Source organism: Homo sapiens, chromosome 16 (genome assembly GCF_000001405.40).
Source record: "Homo sapiens chromosome 16, GRCh38.p14 Primary Assembly".
NCBI classification, from domain to species: Eukaryota; Metazoa; Chordata; class Mammalia; order Primates; family Hominidae; genus Homo; species Homo sapiens.
This window is the reverse complement of record NC_000016.10, coordinates 2178781-2197993: the sequence shown is the minus strand read 5'-3', so window position 1 is coordinate 2197993 and position 19213 is coordinate 2178781. Positions and strand designations below refer to the sequence as shown.

Genomic DNA, 19213 nt, shown 5'->3' with positions numbered 1-19213 from the left:
CCAGGTGAGCCCCTTGGCTTCTCTGAGCCTCAGTTTCTTCATCTGTAAAATGGGGACAGTGAGTCCAACCTCATCTAGGAGGTGACCAGCACAGTGCCTGACCCAGCGGGTACTCAACTGGTCATTGGAAAGGGCAAGAGGAAAGGCCCTAGCATTTGGGGACCCCTCCCAGGAGTGCTGGAAGACCAAGGGCTGCTACCTGAACCTAACAGGAGACCCCACGGAGGGAACGGGAACGGCCAGCTGCCCACAGGATGCCGGGACCCCGGTGCCTGTCACCTTCCCTGTCCCTGCTGTCTGACCTCCTCTGTCCCCCTGGACCTGCTCAATGGTCTGGGGCCACACAGAGTGGGGTGCCAGGCCATGCCTCATAGAATGGGTGCGACCCTCCCCAAATTCTCCAAACGGCCTTGCCCGCTTGGGTGATGAGGGAAACGGAGCCTGAGTCGGGACTCAGACCCCCACTGATCTGCCTCTAGAATGCTGCAGGCCTGACGGGAGAGGGCCTGAGGCGCAGGGTGGCCCAAGCCTTCAGCCAGGAGCTCAGAGGGTCACAAGTCGGGGCCTCCAGCACCCAGGAAGCAGGACTCGCCTGCCTGGGCTGCAGGCTGGAGAGTGGGCAGACGTGGGCCGGGGGTCGGTTGGTGCCGGCGGGAGGTTCCAGCCCCTGTGGATGGAGATGGAGGCGACCCCCAGTCGGTGCGGGGAGTGGGGAGTTGAGCTCCCTCAGTGGGGGTGGTGGGGGCTACCTTGGGGTCAGGCTTCGGACTGAGGCTGGGGGAAGCTGTGGCGCCCGCATTATTTGCGGAGAGGAGCAGGAGGATGCTTGGGGGTTGGGGGTGCGGGTTCCCTGACACCGAATTCATTATTGGGAGATTCCTCTTCACAATCCCTCGACACCTCCCACGGGAACCCTGGGCCAGGAACGCCTGACAGCCTGGCGGGCCGGCTCCAGGGGCACTGGCGCCCGGGTCTCTCGGCGCCCGGTCCCCGCCCGCCCGCTGCCTCGGAACCGTCCCCCGCGGGTCCCGCAGCCTCTGGAAGCCTCTCTGGGCTCAGCCCCGCGCCGCCGCCGCGTCGGGGCTCCCAGTGCACCCCCGGCGGCCGCGTCCCCAGCCCGGCTAGCAGCCCCAGGCCGCCCGCGTCCGCAGAGGCCTGGCCTGAGCGCGCTGCGCGCACGTGGGGAGGGGGCGTCCCGGGGCGGGCGCGGGGAGGGCGGAGCCACGGGCCCGGGCGCGCGGCCGGCGCGGGCTGACGGAGGTCGGCGGCCCGGGAGCGGACCCCGGCGTCCGGGAGGCGGCGCCAGGTGCCGCGCCCCCGCCCCGCGCCCGCCGCGCGCCCCCGCCCCCGGGCCGCCCCCCGCCCGTGACGCGCTCCCCGCCCCCTCCGCGCCGGGAGCCCGAGCCCAAGCCGGAGCCCGAGGAGGGCGAAGGGGCGGCGGGCGGCGAGGAGGCGGCGGGGGAGGCGGCGGGGGAGGCGGCCGGTGCCGCGGGGCCGCCGCCGCCTCTGAGCCGCGCCGAGCTCACGAGCGCAGCCGCGTCGCTGCGGCCCCGGCCGCGCCATGGGGAAGGAGCAGGAGCTGGTGCAGGCGGTGAAGGCGGAGGACGTAGGGACCGCGCAGAGGCTGCTGCAGAGGCCGCGGCCCGGGAAGGCCAGTGAGTGCCGGGGGCGCGGGGCGCGGGTGGGAGCCCCGGGGGCCCCTCCCCGGCGCGGAGCCCCCCACCCGGCGCCGGGCGGGGAGGGGACGTTGTCGGGTCCCCGGGGGCGGGGCGGGGCCAGCAGCGCCCAGACCCTTGGTCCGTGCCCTCCACCCGCTGCCCCCAGCACTGGAGATGGGGCGGCCCCGAGAGCCGGCCGCCACCGTGAGCCCCGCAGCGGGCACCTGGCGGCACCCGCCTCCCGGGCCGCGGGCGTTCGCATCCCTCTCTCTCTACCTCTGTCCCCCTCCCTTCCCAGGCTGCGGGCTGACAGCTGGAGGTCTCTGCTGGGGCCTTCAAAGGGCGAGGCGGATGCCCCCCCCACCCACCACACGCACCGGGAAGACAGGGAGGGGGCCCCTGCGGCGAGGGGCGACCCGGGAGGTGACAGTCCCTAGCAGACCCCCTCCCGCCCCACGTTTAATAACACGCTTTGCAGGGAAGGTGGGGGCAGGACCACGCTGGGGGTGTGGCTGCCCTGGCATGGCCGGTGGGGTGCCATTTACTGATGGGAGAGCAGAGGCCCAAGGTCGCCCAGCCCAGGGCAGGCTGGACTCCAGGCAGGGCCGGCCTGGGCGCAAGGGCTTGGGGCCCTGCTCAGGCAGGCTCCAGCAGAGCCGGGTCTCCAGCTTCCCTGCTGGGAAAGGAGGCCATGAGGGAGTGGGGGACCACCACTGGCCATCCCCAGCTTGCCCTATGGCCGGCCCCAGGAAAGGGCTGGGAGCTTGGAGCCCTGGTCCCAGCACTCATCCTGGCTCAGCGCGTAGCCTCCCTGGGGGCCGCCGGAGATGGATGGATGGGCGTGTGGACCAGCCGCGTGTGCGGCTGCGCACGTATAGCCGTGTCAGTGTGTCAGGGCACCTGTGCGGGCACGGACAGGGCTCTGCAGGTCGGCACGTGGGGTCTGGGCGTCCTCCCTCCTCCCTCCACCCCCACAGACTGTAAGCCAGAGAGTCCCCCTCCCCTTCCTCCAGGGGGATGCCGAGAACTGGGACTGGCTTCTGGGAGATTGTTGGGGGCACCTAGGAGTCCCAGGAGGACCCCCTCCCCCGTACTTCACCAGCAGCCCATGACTGGCTAGCTCCTGTCCACTCTGTGCAGTAAGAGAGAGGGGGCACCGGTGCCTTGCAGGCTGGCCCCGAGCTGATTTCAGGTCCGGGGGCTCAGAAAGGGAGAGCTTGTGGGCAGAGGCAGCCTCAGCTGAGCCTGGAGAGCAGGTGTAGGGATTGAGGGAAGGCAAGGTAAAGGTTTCCACCTAGTGGCCGCATGACCTTGGACACAGACAACTCCAGCTCAGTGGACCTCAGTCTCCTCGTCTGTAGGATGGGATGTCAGCCTCACGGTGGGGTCCTAAGACCAGTGAGCCTGGGCACTTGCAGCCCAGGCATTCAGTAAGTGCTCAGTAAATGCCAGCAATGACCGCAGTCTTGGACGGCCCAGGGCCAGGGGCTGGGGAAGTGGGGGCTTCAGCTCTGGGGAGGTTCCTCCTCCCTTCTATTGTGGCCATTCTGGGGAGGTGTGGGGGCTTCCACTCTCACCTGGGTCTCTGCCTGTCTTGCCTGGCCTCTGGGACAGGAGAGACACCTGCCCTGGCCCCGGCTCCTGCTCTCTGACTCACAGGGGCGGGTGTAATAAATCAGAGGAGAAATCCCTCCATGAATTAGCTCCGTCGTCATGGCAACGCTGGCCTGCTTTGGAGTAAGATGTATTTTGATTCAGTAAAGTACAGCTGAGTTTGGGCCACGAGGTGGGGGGTGTCCAGCAGTATCCTCCAGGGCCCCGTGAGCCCAGGGCTGTCCCCATGAGCTTTGCTTCCATGGTCCCCTCTGGTTGCCCAGTCCCTTCCCTCCAGCCCCTGCTCCAGAGTCACCCCAGGCTCAGCCAGCCCCCGACTCGCCCTGCCCTGAAGGGAGCCTCCCGTGCCCGCACGCACACACTTAGCAGCTGTCCTTGAGGGGAAGAGGAGCCTGTTCTGGGGGAGATGCCGGTGCAGGGGCTGGCCTCCTGCTGGCCAGGAGGGACCCACTCTTCCCTCTGACCCGGACCCTATCCATGGAGGCCCCCTGTCCATGGAGGCAGGCCCAAGAATGCCGTGGAGGACACCCCTGAGCACCGAGGGCCAGCTCCCCATCCCCCTCTCACCTTCTAATAGCCCACTAGTAGCTCCCTTCTAGCCTGGGATATGGACTGGACCCCAGAGGTGGGGACAGGCTCAGGATAGCAGTGAGAGGGCTGGTCGGGGGTAAGGCCTTTACTGTCATAGAGTCACAGGGCTTAGGGACCTCGTGGAGAGGGAGGGGGGCTCCTGGACTTTCATCCTGGCCCCGGCCCCCTCCAGCCATGCTCTGCTCCTGCTTCATCCAGAGAACCCGTTTCCAGGTGAAAACAGCCCCCAGCCCCAGGCCCTTCTCAGTTCTGGGACCTTCCTGGGTACCCACTGTCCCCCCACAGGAATGGGGGTTAGTGTGTCCCAAGACCTCAAGTTGCTGCCATCCAATTTCAGCCAGTTTCCCCCTTGAGGAGACCATAAGTGGGGAGAGGGACGAGATGGCTTTAGTAAGGCACCCCTCCTCACATGGGGGTGGTCCCCTTCCTGAGGGAGACACCCTCCCCCACTGGCAGATGTTACTTTCTGGGCTTTGACCTCCAGCCTCTCCGAGATTTCAGCCCCTGAAGGTGTGGCTGGGTGAGAAGGTGGTTTCCACACTGGCTGCCTCAGCTGTGGGAGGGAGGACAGGGCCTGGCTTGGACAGTCCTGGGGACATGCTGAGGGCTGTCCACCCTGGAGCTGGGAAGAGTGGGGGTCAGCGTTCTGTGGGGAGAACCTCCTGAGTGTGGTCCTGGCGGGGATGCACGGGACAGTGACACCTGCGCTCCCTTTAGCTAATGGCAAGGGATGGTGGTAGGCCCCACGACATAATTCCCAGGTCCCCATGCAAAATGTAAACGCAGGGCCCCTTGCTCAAAAATAAGAATTTCAGGCCGGGCATGGTGGCTCATGCCTGTCATCCCAGCACTTTGGGAGGCTGAGGCAGGCGGATCACCTGAGGTCGGGAGTTCGAGACCAGCCTGACCAACATGGAGAAACCCCGTCTCTACTAAAAATACAAAATTAGCCAGGAGTGGTGGTGCGTGCCTGTAATCCCAGCTACTCTGGAGGCTGAAGCAGAAGAATTGCTTGAACCCGGGAGGTGGAGGTTGTGGTGAGCCGAGATCGCACCATTGCACTCCAGCCTGGGCAACAAGAATGAAACTCCATCTCCAATAAAAAAAAAGAAAAAGAATTTCGAGATGGCGACAGGAGAGCATCCGCAGGCATGGGGTCCTTCTGAGCCAAGCACAGGCCGCACACCCATTAAGTCGCCTCGGCGGCCAGGCAGAGTGTGGGGGATGAGGAGATCGATCCAGTCCGCAACTGAGCACCTCAGCTGCGCGGGGCACCATTTTAGCCACCGAGGATTCCTCCGTGAGCAGAACAGATGACGGCCCTTGTCCCCTTGGTGCTGGTAGTTGAGTGATGGAGATGGGTAGGAGCAAGAGCAGAAGGAGGTTGACGTGGCTGGTGGTGACGAGGGCTGCAGAGCCAGGCACAGCAGCTGCGGGGCGGGCAGGGTCACTTCGGATGGGGAGGGCATGCTGAGTGAGCAGCCTGTGGGTAAGGATCTGAAAAATGTGAGGGAGGCTGTGGGGTTAACTAGGGAAGAGGAGGCCGCACGTGCACACAGGGCATGTGGAAAGGCCTTGGACAGGGCAGCCGATATGTTGGAGGAACGTCTGGAGGCCTGTGTAGCTGCAGCAGGAATGAGGGAAGTAATGATAACTGAGAGCAAAGCAGGAGCCCCACGTACGGCCACTGTCCAGTCTCAGCCTCCCCTCCTAGCACAGCCACTGTCCGTTGTCGGCCTCCCCTCCCAGTGAGACCAGTGCTGCCAGGGGGTCTTCAGGAGAGGCGTGGCAAGATCTGATTCATGTTCTCTCTCCTTTTTTTTTTTTTGAGACAGGGTCTTGCTCTGTCACCCAGGTTGGAATGCAGTGAGTGGTGCGACCCCGGCTCACTGCAGCTTCAACCTCCTGGGCTCAAGCGATCCTCCCGCCTCAGCCTCCCAAGTAGCAGGGACCACAGGCACACCCCTCCGTGCCCAGCTACTTTTTTTTTCCTTTATTTTTTGTAGAGACAAGGTCTTGCTATGTTGGCCAGGCTGGTCTTGAACTCCTGGCTGCAAGTGATCCTCCCACCTCAGCCTCCCAATGTGCTGGGGTTACAGGCGTGAGCCACGGCACAGAGCCTGACTCATGTTTTCCCAGGGAACCCCGACGGGGTGGGTGTGGAGGTTGGACCGAGGGATGTGGGAAGACCTTAGCGACACCAGTGGGGAGGGGATGGCACTTATCCTGCCAGAGATGCCGGCCTGGACCAGGTTGGTGACAGTGGCTGTGGGGAGAAGGGCTAGGGTTCCAAGTGTGCTCTGGGGATGTCTGGGAGGCAGAGCTGACGGACAAGCTATAGGTGTGCAGGAAAGGCCCCAGGCCTGGCTCCAAGGTTTTGGCCTGGGCCATGGTCAGGAAGGATGGCATTGCCACTAACCAAGAGGGACACTGGTGCCAGCAGTGTCTGAGCAGAGGGGGAGGGGCCGGTGAGGCTGGAGACGACTTTGCTTGCCAGAAGAAACCCCTGGCTGGAGAGAGCTGGGGGTGGGATTCCTGTACGGCTAATATTAGTAATCGCCATGCACCGAGTCCTGACTTGTGCCAGGCCGCGCACGCTTTATGTCTGGGAATGCTCTCACACCTCCGGGAGGCCCTGTTAGCACCCCCGGCTCCAGCTCAGGGAGGGCGCCAGCAGCCAAGGACACAGGCTGGTGAGTGGCAGAGCAGAGATTCGAATTCACAGCAGTCTGGCTCCTTCGGCCAGCCTCGTGGGTCATCAGGGGACCCGCACCCTGTGTCCAGTGGCTGGGACTGAGGCCGGGGCAGCAGGGGCTGCTGTGGGTCACTGTGCAAGCCCTGCAGACAGCCCTGTGCCTCGACTCCCTCAACTCCCCTGCCCTCAGCTCCTGCCCCCACCCTGTCCTGGGCCTGGACAAAGGGGCTTCTGTCCTGCCAGCTCCCCTCTCAGAGTGACTGACCCACAAATGGGTTATGTAACCACGGCCCAGATAGGCGGGGGTTTGGCCCAAGTCTGCTTGGACTAGAGCCCACTGGGAGGGCATCGGTGGGCTTCCCTCCTCTGGCAGCTGGCTGGGGGAGGCCAGGATGCGGGGGGCCCCAGGAGGACGCTGGGGCCCTGAAGGGAGGGCGTGGGCCCCTCTGGCCTCAGGTGCTCCGAGTCGCCAGGGAGCAGGCAGCCGTTCGCGTGAGGTTGCTCAGAGGTGCCAGCCCACTCGCCTGCCTCCCACTTCTGCTCATCCACACTGGCTGTGGCCCAGGGCTGGCAGTGGGGGTGCTGCACGGTGGAGACGCAGATCCTCCCCCAGAGATACCCCCATTTCCGGGTGTTCCAGCCTCCCTGGCCACCCCCGGCCCCATCTGGATCCTTCTGAGAGACAGATTGGGCCGGCTCTCTCCCTCCCACCATTGGCAGGTGCTCAGCCAGTGTCCCGAGGGAGGGGTGTGCGTGCACATGTGTGTGCCTGTGTGGGTGCACAGCCTTGCCTCCTATCCCCAGGTGGGGACAAGGACTCCAGGCCGGAGTCCTTAGTACTGTGAACCCCCACATCTCAGGGCAATGGGACACCAAGGCCCGAGCAGCTGGCACCTGGGGCAGGCTGCGGGGCAGAGCTGAACGCGTGAGTGCACGAGTGGACGAGTGAGTGTCTGCAGACTGAGAGCCCAGCAGCTTTGTGCCTGCCGGGGAGATGGCTGGCCCCCTCTCCCTGCCCTCAGGCCGCCTGGAGGGGCTGGCACAGCCTCCCCTCACTGAGTCTCCTTCCATCCCCAGAGCTCCTGGGTTCCACCAAGAAGATCAATGTCAACTTCCAGGACCCGGATGGGTGAGTTCTGAGCCGGGTGGTGCCTGCCTGGAAGGGAGGGTGGCTCCTAGAGAGGCCTAGGTGCCGGGGGAGGGCAGGGTGCCGGGAAGGCCGGGGCGCCAGGGCCTCTGCTCTATGTGTCCTCTGCACGTGCCAGCTTCTCGGCTCTGCACCATGCGGCCCTGAACGGCAACACGGAATTGATCAGCCTGCTGCTGGAGGCCCAGGCCGCTGTGGACATCAAGGACAACAAAGGCAAGACTAGCCGAGGGCCTCTGGTGGGGGCAGGGGCGGGGGCAGCGAGGGGGGCTCCCCAGGGCCTGCATGGATCCTTGGCTGAGGTCTCAGCCCAGGGTCTCAGTCTGATTTCAGGCAGGTCCTCCTGGGATCAGGGTCCTGGAGGCCAGGGGTGGGGCTGGGGTGAGGGGTCAGCTCCTAGCACCCCCCAAACCCACAGGGTTGGGCTTGGGGTCAGGGGTCAGCTCCCAGCATTCCCCCCACCTCCCAGGGTTGGCCTTGGGGGTCAAGGGTCAGCTCCCAGCATTCCCACCTCCCAGGGTTGGGCTTGGGGTCAGAGGTCAACTCCCAGCAAACCCCCGCCCCCAACCCCAAGGGTTGGGCTTGGTGTCAGAAGTCAGCTCCTAGCGCCCTCCCACCCCCCAGGGTTGGACTTGGGGTCAGGGGTCAGGTCCCAGCACCCCCCTATCCTCCAGGGTTGGGTTTGGGGTCAAGGGTCAGCTCCCAGCATCCCCTCGCCCCCCAGGCATGCGGCCGCTGCACTATGCGGCCTGGCAGGGCCGGAAGGAGCCCATGAAGCTGGTGCTGAAGGCGGGCTCGGCCGTGAACATCCCGTCTGATGAGGGCCACATCCCCCTGCACCTGGCGGCCCAGCATGGTCACTATGATGTGGTGAGGCCCGAGCGGGGGCGGGGCAGCGGGGGCGGGGCAGCGCGGCCTGAGGATGTGCGGACCTGACTGCGCCCTTGGCCCCCAGTCTGAGATGCTGCTACAGCACCAGTCTAACCCGTGCATGGTGGACAACTCGGGGAAGACGCCCCTGGACCTGGCCTGCGAGTTCGGCCGCGTTGGGGTGAGTCTCCTGTGGAGCCCTGTGGGGTGGGGCTGGGGAGCCCCACATCAGGACCCCCCTACCCTGACCCCTCCTTCAAGGTGGTCCAGCTGCTCCTCAGCAGCAATATGTGTGCGGCGCTGCTGGAGCCCCGGCCGGGAGACGCCACCGACCCCAACGGCACCAGCCCTTTGCACCTCGCAGCTAAAAACGGCCACATCGACATCATCAGGTAGAGCCGGTAGCAGGGAGGGCCTCAGCCTTAGGGTCCCCAGGGTTCAGCAGCAGCCTGGGGCTCAGGGCACCAGCTTCTGGCTTGGGGATAGGGCGGGAGCAGGCAGGGTCCCAGGTCCCTGGTCAGGCCTCTGGCATGGCCTCCAGGGCCCATGTACAGGATGAGCTGCAGGGGCTGGGAAGGGGGCTTCTGCGACGTCTCTGTCCCAGCCCCACCGCTCCTGGGTGTGCTCGAGGAGGTGCTGAACTTCCCTGAGCCTCACTTTCCCATCCGTAAAGTGGGGTTCACAGCAGCGCCTACACTAGCATCAGACAAGATAACAGCTGGGAAGTCTTAGCACAGGGAGGGCCCTTCAACAGTGCTCACTGTGGGCTGGGTGCCCCGGCGGCTCACACTTGTAATCCCAGCACTTTGGGAGGCCAAGGAGGGAGGATTGCTTGAGGCCAGGAGTTCGAGACCAGCCTGGGCAACATGTCAAGACCCCATCTCTACAAAAAATACAAAAACTAGCCGGGTGTGTTGGCACACACCTGTAGACCCAGCTACTTGGGAAGCTAAGGCAGGAGAATCACTTGAGCCCATGAGGTTGAGGTTGCAGTGAGCGATGATTGTGCCACTGTACTCCAGCCTGGGTGACACAGCAAGACCCTGTCTCAAAAAAAAAAAAAAATCGGCTGGTTGTGGTGATGCACACCTGTAGTCCCGGCTGCTTGAGAGGCTGAGGTGGGAGGATCGCATGAGCCTGGGAGGTCGAGGCTGCAGTGAGCCAGGATGGTGCCACTGCATTCCAGCCTGGGTGACAGAGAGAGACCCCATCTCTACTTTTTATAAAAAAAGCAGCTGAGTGCGGTGGTTCAAAATGCTGCAATCCCAGTATTTTGGGAGGCTGACGCAGGAGCCCAGGAATTTGAGACCAGCCTGGGCAACATAGCAAGACGTGGTCTTTACAAAAACAAAGGCAAAAAAAAAAAAAAAAGCTGGGAATGGTCACACATGTCTGTAATCCCAGCTACTCTGGAGGCTGAGGCAGGAGGACTGCTTGAGGCCGGGAGTTTGAGGCTGCAGTAAGCCATGACTGCACCACTGTACTCCAGCCTGGGTGACAGAGTGAGACCCCGTCTTAGAAAAAGTAGGCCAGGTGCAGTGGCGCACGCCTGTACTCCCAGCACTTTGGGAGGAGTTCGTGTCCAGCTTGGCCAAAATGGTGAAACCCCGTCTCTACTAAAAATACAAAATTAGCTGGGTGTGGTGGCAGGTGCCTGTGATCCCAGCTACTCCGGAGGCTGAGGCAGGAGAATCGCTTGAACCCAGGAGGTGGAGGCTGTAGTGAGCCGAGATCGCACCATTGCACTCCAGCCTGGGCGACAAGGGTGAAACTCCGTCTCAAAAAGAAAAAAAAAGCGCTCAGCACTCAGTGAATGTCAGAGACATGGGGCAGGGCTGGACGGTCCTCAGCCCCCAAGCTGACTGCTGGGGTACCTGGAAATGGAGGCCTGGCTTGGGGGTGCTGGGGCCGGCCTCCTGCTGGAAGGCCCCGCCTGTCCACCTTGCCTTCCCGCCAGGCTCCTCCTCCAAGCCGGCATCGACATTAACCGCCAGACCAAGTCCGGCACGGCCCTGCACGAGGCTGCGCTCTGCGGAAAGACAGAGGTGGTGCGGCTGCTGCTGGATGTGAGTGTGGGGCCCAGGGGCGCTGGGCCCAGTGGACTGTAGGGGCTCCTGACAGAGCCTCATCTCTCACATGTGCAGAGCGGGATCAATGCCCACGTGAGGAACACCTACAGCCAGACAGCCCTGGACATCGTGCACCAGTTCACCACGTCCCAGGCCAGCAGGGAGATCAAGCAGCTGTTGCGAGGTGGGCCCAGGCAGGGCAGAGGGGCAGTGGCTGGGGCTGGGGCTGGGCCAGATCAGCCCGCAGGACTTCGGGGGCCCCCTCCTGTATCCCCAGAGGCCTCAGCGGCCCTGCAGGTCCGGGCGACCAAGGATTATTGCAACAATTACGACCTGACCAGCCTCAACGTGAAGGCAGGGGACATCATCACAGTAAGCATGGCCCCAGGGGCCATCTCAGCAGGGAGGGGGCGGCACCTGGGCGTGCGCACCCCAGAACACCCTCCCGCCGCAACTGGGGGGCACTGGGCAGGAGACTCTGCGAAAGGGGGCATCTCCCTGAGCGCCCCCCACCTTACTGGCCAGGTCCTCGAGCAGCATCCGGATGGCCGGTGGAAGGGCTGCATCCATGACAACCGGACGGGCAATGACCGGGTGGGCTACTTCCCGTCCTCCCTGGGCGAGGCCATTGTCAAGCGAGCAGGCAAGTTCCACCCCACCCTGGGGGGCAGGCAGGAGCCCCTGGGCTTGGGGGCTGGAAGCAGCGAGTGTGCTGAGGGTGTGGGGGCCCAGCAGGGCTGGGTTTCTGGGTGCCAGCGTGGGGTTGAGTGGGGAGCATCAGGGTGCCCCAGCGGCCGTCTCCTCGTCCGTTCCCACACCTATTCCTTTATGCGTTCTACCAAGCACTGTGTGCTGCCATGTCTGGTTCTGAACCGGCCACTAGAACAGATGGGGACCCAACTCCCAAGGAGCTCGTCCTGGGGCAGGAGAGGGCAGGGGACAGCGAAGTAAACATGAAAGGACATGTGACCCGGAGCACAGGGAGGGCCTGCTTGAGATGAGGCAGTCAGAGAAGGCCAGAGAATGCTCTGAGAGGCAGGTGGGTTCCAGGTGGCAGGAGCCGTGCGTTAAAAGCCGGCGGCGCCAGGCGTGGTGGCTCATGCCTGTCATCCCAACACTTTGGGAGGCCGAGGCTAGAGGATTGTTTGAGCCCAGGAGTTCGAGATCAGCCTGGGCAACATAGTGAGATTCCATGTCTACAAAAAATAAAATTAGCCAAGCATGGTGTTGTGCGCCTATGGCCCCAGCGACTTGGGAGGCTGAGGTGGGAGGATTGCTTGAGCCTGGGAAGTGGAGGCTACAGTGAGCGAAGATTGCACCAGCCTGAGTGACAGAGCAAGACCCTGTCTCAAAAAAAAATAATGATTAAAACAAAGGCACTCAAGTGTTTGCTCTTGGTGAAGAAAAAAGGAAAAAACCAAAGGCGCTGAGGCAGGCAAGAGCTGGGTACATCTGAGTAACAGGAGGCTGAGGAGAGGGACTAGGCCAGGGGCCCAGGCTGTGAAGCCCCATGTGGCAGCTGCAAGGGACCAGGGGCCCGTTTACTGCTGATGGAGGACCTGGAGGTTGACAGGCAGGGCCAGCCCCCGACCATGGCCATCTAGCTCCTGAGTGGGAGCCTTGGCTCTAGCTTGTGGGGGGCTTCTTGCCTGCCCCCCACTCCCCAGTACAGAGACTTTCATACCGTCCAGCAATCTCTGGCCCCCTGCCCACAGGACCCCAGGGCCACCGGCAGGATGCCTAGGCTTGGCTGTCTCTGCCTCTCTCCTGCTCTAAACGTCTGGGGTGGGAGGGGTCTTCCGAGGGGCTATCAGCTCCCTGGAGACAATGGTGGGCAGAGAGGACCCCCGGCTGTGGCTGCGCCAGTCTCTGTCCTGCCTCCCCTGCGTCAGTACCCGCCATCGCTGGCCCAGGACTTAGGAGGCTTTGCTTGACCCACAGGTTCCCGAGCAGGCACTGAACCAAGCCTGCCCCAGGGAAGCAGCTCATCGGGACCCTCTGCACCCCCAGAGGAGATCTGGGTGCTGAGGAAGCCTTTTGCAGGTAGGCTGGGTCCCTGAAGGGCAGAGGTGGCAGGACTTCCACAAGGCACCACCGTGGGGCCAGGCAGGGGCCGGCACTGGCCTCATCTTGCTCCCTTGTGCTGGCAGGTGGGGACCGAAGCGGCAGCATTAGCGGCATGGCTGGCGGCCGGGGCAGCGGGGGTCACGCCCTACACGCGGGCTCTGAAGGCGTCAAGGTAGGTGGGGTAGTGGCCAGGGCCAGGGTGGCCAGGGCTGGGAGCAGGTGACAAGCCGGGGTTTCTGGGTTGCAGCTCCTGGCAACGGTGCTTTCCCAGAAGTCCGTCTCTGAGTCCGGCCCGGGGGACAGCCCCGCCAAGCCTCCGGAAGGCTCTGCAGGTAAGAGCAAGGGTGCTGCCACGCAGCCCGATGGAGGAAAGCAGCCCGACAGCCCTTGTCCCCCACCCACTCTCGTCCTCAGGTGTGGCCCGGTCCCAGCCTCCAGTGGCCCACGCCGGGCAGGTCTATGGGGAGCAGCCGCCCAAGAAGCTGGAGCCAGCATCGGAGGGCAAGGTACAGGGCTTGGGGGTGTTCTCAGCGTGGGCTCCGGGGAGAGGCTGTAAGGCCGATGGGCTGATGGGTGCTTACACGGCCTGCCTGGCCTGGCAGCGGCGGGGTCGGGGGCATTGCCAGGCCAGACCCTCTCCTCTGTCTGTCAGTCTGTGTGTTGTGTGTGTGTCTGCCTGTGTGTACGGGTGTCGTCATTGTGCAGGCTGTGCGTGTGGGCCAACCTGTGCCTCTGTGTGTGCGTGTGTGTGTGTGATGGTGGGACTGCGAGCTGGGCACGCGTGTCTGTGTACAGGTGGAAGGGGATGGGTATGAGATGGTGCAGCGTGTGCATGGGCACGGCGTATGGTGTGTGAGTGCACTCGTGTGCCGGAGAGCTGTAAGCTGCTGGCTGAGTCCTGCACGGTGGAGGAGGCAAGGTGCCCCTGCCTGTGGGCACAGAGCCCACCTTCCGGTCCAGCCCGAGGCCCCTTTCCCAGAGCCCCCTCCCAAGGGGCCATACCACCTGCATCCCCAAGATGGCGTGGGGCGTCCCTGGTGCAGGAGCAGGGGACAGTCAGGGAGGCGTGTGGCGGACAGTAGCAGCCCCCCCGCCCCCCTCCCCCCACCGGTGGAGATCCCAGAAGAAGGCGGAAGGGTGGAGGATGCTCCAGGAGGCGCCTCCGGGACCGCGGACTGAGGATCACTCACGGGCCAGGCTCACCGGGGCCTGCTGCAGATGGAGCAGCGGACGGCGGACGCAGTGGCTGCACGGCTGGCCGGCCAAGCAGAGGAGGCGGCACTGTGGTGGCAGGGCGCGGCCGGGCAGGCGAGCCTGCAGTGGGTGCCTTGTGTCTTCCAGAGCTCTGAGGCCGTGAGCCAGTGGCTCACCGCGTTCCAGCTGCAGCTCTACGCCCCCAACTTCATCAGCGCCGGCTACGACCTGCCCACCATCAGCCGCATGACTCCCGAGGTGAGCTTTCCATGCGCCGCCAGCGCCAGCTGCGTCCCACAGATGGGCCCAGCCCCTAGCTGACAAGCCTCCCCACTGCCTAGGACCTCACGGCCATTGGTGTCACCAAGCCGGGCCACCGGAAGAAGATCGCGGCAGAGATCAGCGGCCTAAGCATCCCTGACTGGCTGCCTGAGCACAAACCCGTAAGGCCACCTGCATCCCAGGGGCTGGGCCCAGGACGGGCAGACAGACAGACAGACAGAGAACCTGCCTCCCTGGCCACAACTCCCACCCGCCCTCAGGGGCTTGAGGGAGAGGAGAGTGGAGGATGCCCTGCTAGCAGGGAGCCTCCCGATCAGCCCCTGTTTTGTCACTGGGGCAGGGGCAAGGTGATGCTGTCCAGGGGTCGTCGTTGCTGAGGGAGCCTGAAGCCAGGAGAGTCCCCTCCCCACGTCCATGCTCTCACCAGGACTCCCTCCACATGCAGGCTGCCCCACAGGGACCCCCAGCCACCAAGCCTCCAAGCACTGCCACTCACATGCAGACTGTAGGGGGCCATGCTTACGGCCTTTGCTCACAGGCACCCAGGTACGTGCCAGCCACACGCCTGGCAGGTGTGCATGGAACACCCTGCAGGCATCCACCAGCTTGTGTGCGTGCACACATGCTCCACCGCACGTGTGGCCCTCACCAATAGCTGACACCCCCATTCTCAGCGATACCTGCACACGCCATGGCCAATCGTCATTAACACGGAGGTGCGGCCGGGCGCGGTGGCTCACGCCTGTAATCCCAGCACTTTGGGAGGCCGAGGTAGGTGGATCACGAGGTCAAGAGATCGAGACCATCCTGGCTAACACGGTGAAACCCAGTCTCTACTAAAACCAAAAATTGGCCAGGCGTGGTGGCGGGTGCCTATAGTCCCAGCTACTTGGGAGTCTGAGGCAGGAGAATGGCATGAACCCGGGAGGCGGAGCTTGCAGTGAGCCGAGATTGCGCCACTGCACTCCAGCCTGGGCGACAGAGCGAGGCTCCGTCTCAAACAAAGCAAAACAACAGGGAGGTGCCTGTGCAGTGGGATGGGTTCCGGGCCTGAAGAAGGTGGGCCCAGGCCTAGCCCAACTGAAGCGGACTCTCTGGGCCTCACACTGAGCTCTGGGCTCCCAACGGGAGAGGCGATCGGTGGCTGTCAAAAGCCACCTGGCGCGTGGGTCTGCACTCACCCTGCCTTGCCTCACTCAATTGGTGGCTCGGGGATCCTCCTAGGGGTCAGGTCCGGGTCCCACGGGCCTTGCCGCGCACCTGGGGGTGGCTGAGTGTTCAAGAGCAGTTGCATGAGTGAATTCCAGCTGGAAGTGTGGACGCCTGAATGCCGCTCGGGGAGTGATCGGGTGTTTCTCGGTGCAGATTGCTGTGGGTGTTGGCACGTGTGTGTGTTGTGGCTGTGTGGCATGTGTGTGGCCCTGTGATGTGGGTGAGAGGTCAGAGTGTGAAACGGGATGGGGTGCTGGTGCCTGTGCACGGCTGGGAGCGCAGCGTGCAAATCATGTGCGTGTTCCTGTACCAGGTGTGGCCCCATGCGTCTGTGTCCATGACTCGGGTGTGTCTCCCCATGGTGCTGTACTCGTGGCTGCCTGGCCGGGTGGGAAAGTGCCTTCTTCTGCCCCCCCGACAAGGGTGTCCTGTGGATGTGGGCAGCCGTGCGTGTGTGCGCATGTGTGCGATATGCGGCATGCAGTGTCCGGTGCCTGAGCCGAGGCTCTGCCTACATTTCTGGTGCCAATACCTCGGCCTATCCGTTTGTCCTCCTGTCTGTCTGTGCCCTGCTGGCCCGGTGACCCTTCCTCCTCCAGCTCCAGGTAGATGGGCAGGGTGCGGGCAGCCAGCCCAGGTGGCTCCTCTGTGTGTCTGCTCTGTAGGCTAACCTGGCCGTGTGGCTGTCCATGATCGGCCTGGCCCAGTACTACAAGGTGTTGGTGGACAATGGCTACGAGAACATTGATTTCATCACCGACATCACCTGGGAGGACCTGCAGGAGATCGGCATCACCAAGCTGGGTGAGGCCCCAGCCCCAGCCCTCGTCCCCAGCCCAACCCTCAGCCCAAGCCCCAGCCACCAGCCACCAGCCCAGCCCCAGCCCCGCCCCAGCCCCAAGCTGGGCCCCAAGCCCAGCCCAGCCCCGCCCCTAGCCCGGCCCCTGCCCCTCCGCCTCCTGGTCCACCTGACCTGCCCCCTGCGCCCCACTCAGGGCACCAGAAGAAGCTGATGCTCGCTGTGAGGAAGCTGGCAGAGCTGCAGAAGGCTGAATACGCCAAGTATGAGGGGGGCCCCCTGCGCCGGAAGGCGCCCCAGTCTCTTGAAGTGATGGCCATCGAGTCGCCGCCCCCGCCTGAGCCCACACCGGCCGACTGCCAGTCCCCTAAAATGACCACCTTCCAGGACAGCGAGCTCAGTGACGAGCTGCAGGCTGCCATGACTGGCCCGGCTGAGGTGGGGCCCACCACTGAGAAGCCCTCCAGCCACCTGCCACCCACCCCGAGGGCCACCACGCGGCAGGACTCCAGCCTGGGTGGTCGGGCACGGCACATGAGCAGCTCGCAGGAGCTGCTGGGAGATGGGCCCCCTGGGCCCAGCAGCCCCATGTCTCGAAGCCAGGAGTACCTCCTGGATGAGGGCCCCGCCCCCGGCACCCCGCCCAGGGAGGCCCGGCCCGGCCGCCACGGCCACAGCATCAAGAGGGCCAGCGTGCCCCCCGTGCCTGGCAAGCCACGGCAGGTCCTCCCACCAGGCACTAGCCACTTCACGCCCCCCCAGACGCCCACCAAAACCCGACCAGGCTCTCCCCAGGCCCTTGGGGGACCTCATGGTCCAGCCCCAGCTACGGCCAAGGTGAAGCCCACCCCGCAGCTGCTGCCGCCGACAGAGCGCCCCATGTCACCCCGCTCCCTGCCTCAGTCACCGACGCACCGCGGCTTTGCCTACGTGCTGCCCCAGCCCGTGGAGGGCGAGGTGGGGCCGGCTGCCCCGGGGCCTGCGCCCCCACCCGTGCCGACGGCTGTGCCCACACTGTGCCTGCCCCCTGAGGCCGACGCGGAGCCGGGGCGGCCCAAGAAGCGGGCCCACAGCCTGAATCGCTATGCGGCGTCCGACAGCGAGCCGGAGCGGGACGAGCTGCTGGTGCCTGCGGCTGCCGGCCCCTATGCCACGGTCCAGCGGCGCGTGGGCCGCAGCCACTCAGTGAGGGCGCCCGCAGGTGCCGACAAGAACGTCAACCGCAGCCAGTCCTTTGCCGTGCGGCCCCGAAAGAAGGGGCCCCCGCCGCCCCCACCCAAGCGCTCCAGCTCGGCCCTGGCTAGTGCCAACCTGGCGGATGAGCCGGTGCCTGACGCCGAGCCTGAGGATGGCCTGCTGGGGGTCCGGGCACAGTGCCGGCGGGCCAGTGACCTGGCCGGCAGCGTGGACACGGGTAGTGCCGGCAGTGTGAAGAGCATCGCGGCCATGCTGGAGCTGTCCTCCATTGGGGGTGGGGGCCGGGCTGCCCGCAGGCCTCCTGAGGGCCACCCCACTCCCCGCCCTGCCAGCCCAGAGCCGGGCCGGGTGGCCACCGTGCTGGCCTCAGTGAAACACAAAGAGGCCATCGGGCCTGGCGGGGAGGTGGTGAACCGGCGCCGCACGCTCAGCGGGCCAGTCACCGGACTTCTGGCCACTGCCCGCCGGGGGCCTGGGGAGTCGGCAGACCCAGGCCCCTTTGTGGAGGATGGCACTGGCCGGCAGCGGCCTCGGGGTCCCTCCAAGGGCGAGGCGGGTGTCGAAGGCCCGCCCTTGGCCAAGGTGGAAGCCAGCGCCACACTCAAGAGGCGCATCCGGGCCAAGCAGAACCAGCAGGAGAACGTCAAGTTCATCCTGACCGAGTCTGACACGGTCAAGCGCAGGCCCAAGGCCAAGGAGCGGGAGGCCGGGCCTGAGCCACCACCGCCACTGTCCGTGTACCATAATGGCACTGGCACCGTGCGCCGCCGACCGGCCTCGGAGCAGGCTGGGCCTCCGGAGCTGCCTCCACCGCCCCCGCCTGCCGAACCCCCGCCCACCGACCTGGCGCACCTACCCCCATTGCCCCCGCCCGAGGGCGAAGCCCGGAAGCCGGCCAAGCCGCCTGTCTCTCCCAAGCCCGTCCTGACGCAGCCTGTGCCCAAGCTCCAGGGCTCGCCCACACCCACCTCCAAGAAGGTGCCGCTGCCAGGCCCTGGCAGCCCAGGTAGGCCAGCCAGGGTGGGGTGAAGGGGCAACAGGACCCTGCTCCACCTCCTTACTCGGTGGTCTGAGGGGTTTTCCTTTTCTTGGGTTTGATGGAAGCCCAGGTGGGGTGGGAACGTGTCCCCAGACCCTCTCATCCATCCAGGGCTGGGGGCAAGGTGAGCAGGGTCTTTCCCGGTCCGCTGGGGAGGAAGCCGCGGGAGGCTGGGGCAGGGGGCGCGGCGGCGGAACTCGTGCCCGCTCGGTGCCAGCGTGGTCCTCCCCGCAGAGGTGAAGCGCGCCCACGGCACGCCACCGCCCGTGTCTCCCAAGCCGCCGCCGCCGCCCACAGCGCCCAAGCCCGTCAAGGCGGTCGCGGGGCTGCCTTCGGGCAGCGCCGGCCCTTCACCCGCACCCTCGCCCGCGCGACAGCCGCCCGCCGCCCTCGCCAAGCCGCCCGGTACGCCGCCCTCGCTGGGCGCCAGCCCCGCCAAGCCCCCGTCCCCCGGCGCGCCCGCGCTGCACGTGCCCGCCAAGCCCCCGCGAGCCGCCGCCGCCGCCGCCGCCGCCGCCGCCGCGCCCCCCGCCCCGCCCGAAGGCGCCTCGCCAGGGGACAGCGCCCGGCAGAAACTGGAGGAGACAAGCGCGTGCCTGGCCGCGGCGCTGCAGGCGGTGGAGGAGAAGATCCGGCAGGAGGACGCGCAGGGCCCGCGGTAGGTGCGGGGCGGGGCCTGGCGGGCGGAGGGCGGGGCTCGGCAGAGATGGGCGGGGCTCGGCAGAGATGGGCGGGGCTCGGCAGAGATGGGCGGGGCTCGGCAGAGATGGGCGTGCCGT

General features: G+C 65.3%; 1 protein-coding gene across 2 annotated transcripts in view, besides 3 other annotated features; it reads left to right on the top strand.

Moving 5' to 3' along the window:
• Positions 1-1388: 1388 nt before the first annotated feature.
• The window catches only part of CASKIN1 (CASK interacting protein 1), a 19426-nt gene continuing 1601 nt past the window's right edge, over positions 1389-19213 (top strand). Inside the window, exons 1-19 of one of the 2 annotated variants that reach the window (NM_020764.4) lie at positions 1389-1655; positions 7636-7687; positions 7824-7921; positions 8430-8575; positions 8661-8756; positions 8837-8967; positions 10533-10641; positions 10720-10828; positions 10922-11016; positions 11170-11287; positions 12586-12687; positions 12795-12883; positions 12959-13043; positions 13126-13217; positions 14053-14163; positions 14247-14348; positions 16065-16203; positions 16395-18401; positions 18669-19092. In NM_020764.4, coding sequence (NP_065815.1) covers positions 1562-1655; positions 7636-7687; positions 7824-7921; positions 8430-8575; positions 8661-8756; positions 8837-8967; positions 10533-10641; positions 10720-10828; positions 10922-11016; positions 11170-11287; positions 12586-12687; positions 12795-12883; positions 12959-13043; positions 13126-13217; positions 14053-14163; positions 14247-14348; positions 16065-16203; positions 16395-18401; positions 18669-19092 — 4199 coding nt within the window. In that variant the 5' untranslated portion in view covers positions 1389-1561. The remainder of the gene's footprint in view (positions 1656-7635; positions 7688-7823; positions 7922-8429; positions 8576-8660; positions 8757-8836; positions 8968-10532; positions 10642-10719; positions 10829-10921; positions 11017-11169; positions 11288-12585; positions 12688-12794; positions 12884-12958; positions 13044-13125; positions 13218-14052; positions 14164-14246; positions 14349-16064; positions 16204-16394; positions 18402-18668; positions 19093-19213) is intronic. The other variant, XM_024450361.2, reaches the window with a different exon arrangement.
• Positions 5975-6175: a silencer, noted in NCBI's record as "peak2469 fragment used in MPRA reporter construct". NCBI's record gives its function as "represses an SCP1 promoter by STARR-seq MPRAs in K562 erythroleukemia cells {active_cell/tissue: K562}" and the evidence as "EXISTENCE:reporter gene assay evidence [ECO:0000049][PMID:32103011]".
• Positions 8111-8879: an enhancer, noted in NCBI's record as "H3K4me1 hESC enhancer chr16:2239116-2239884 (GRCh37/hg19 assembly coordinates)". NCBI's record gives its function as "activates a minimal SCP1, AML or CMV promoter by ChIP-STARR-seq in naive H9 embryonic stem cells {active_cell/tissue: H9 hESC(naive)}" and the evidence as "EXISTENCE:reporter gene assay evidence [ECO:0000049][PMID:30033119]".
• Positions 15030-15530: an enhancer, noted in NCBI's record as "H3K4me1 hESC enhancer chr16:2232465-2232965 (GRCh37/hg19 assembly coordinates)". NCBI's record gives its function as "activates a minimal SCP1, AML or CMV promoter by ChIP-STARR-seq in naive H9 embryonic stem cells {active_cell/tissue: H9 hESC(naive)}" and the evidence as "EXISTENCE:reporter gene assay evidence [ECO:0000049][PMID:30033119]".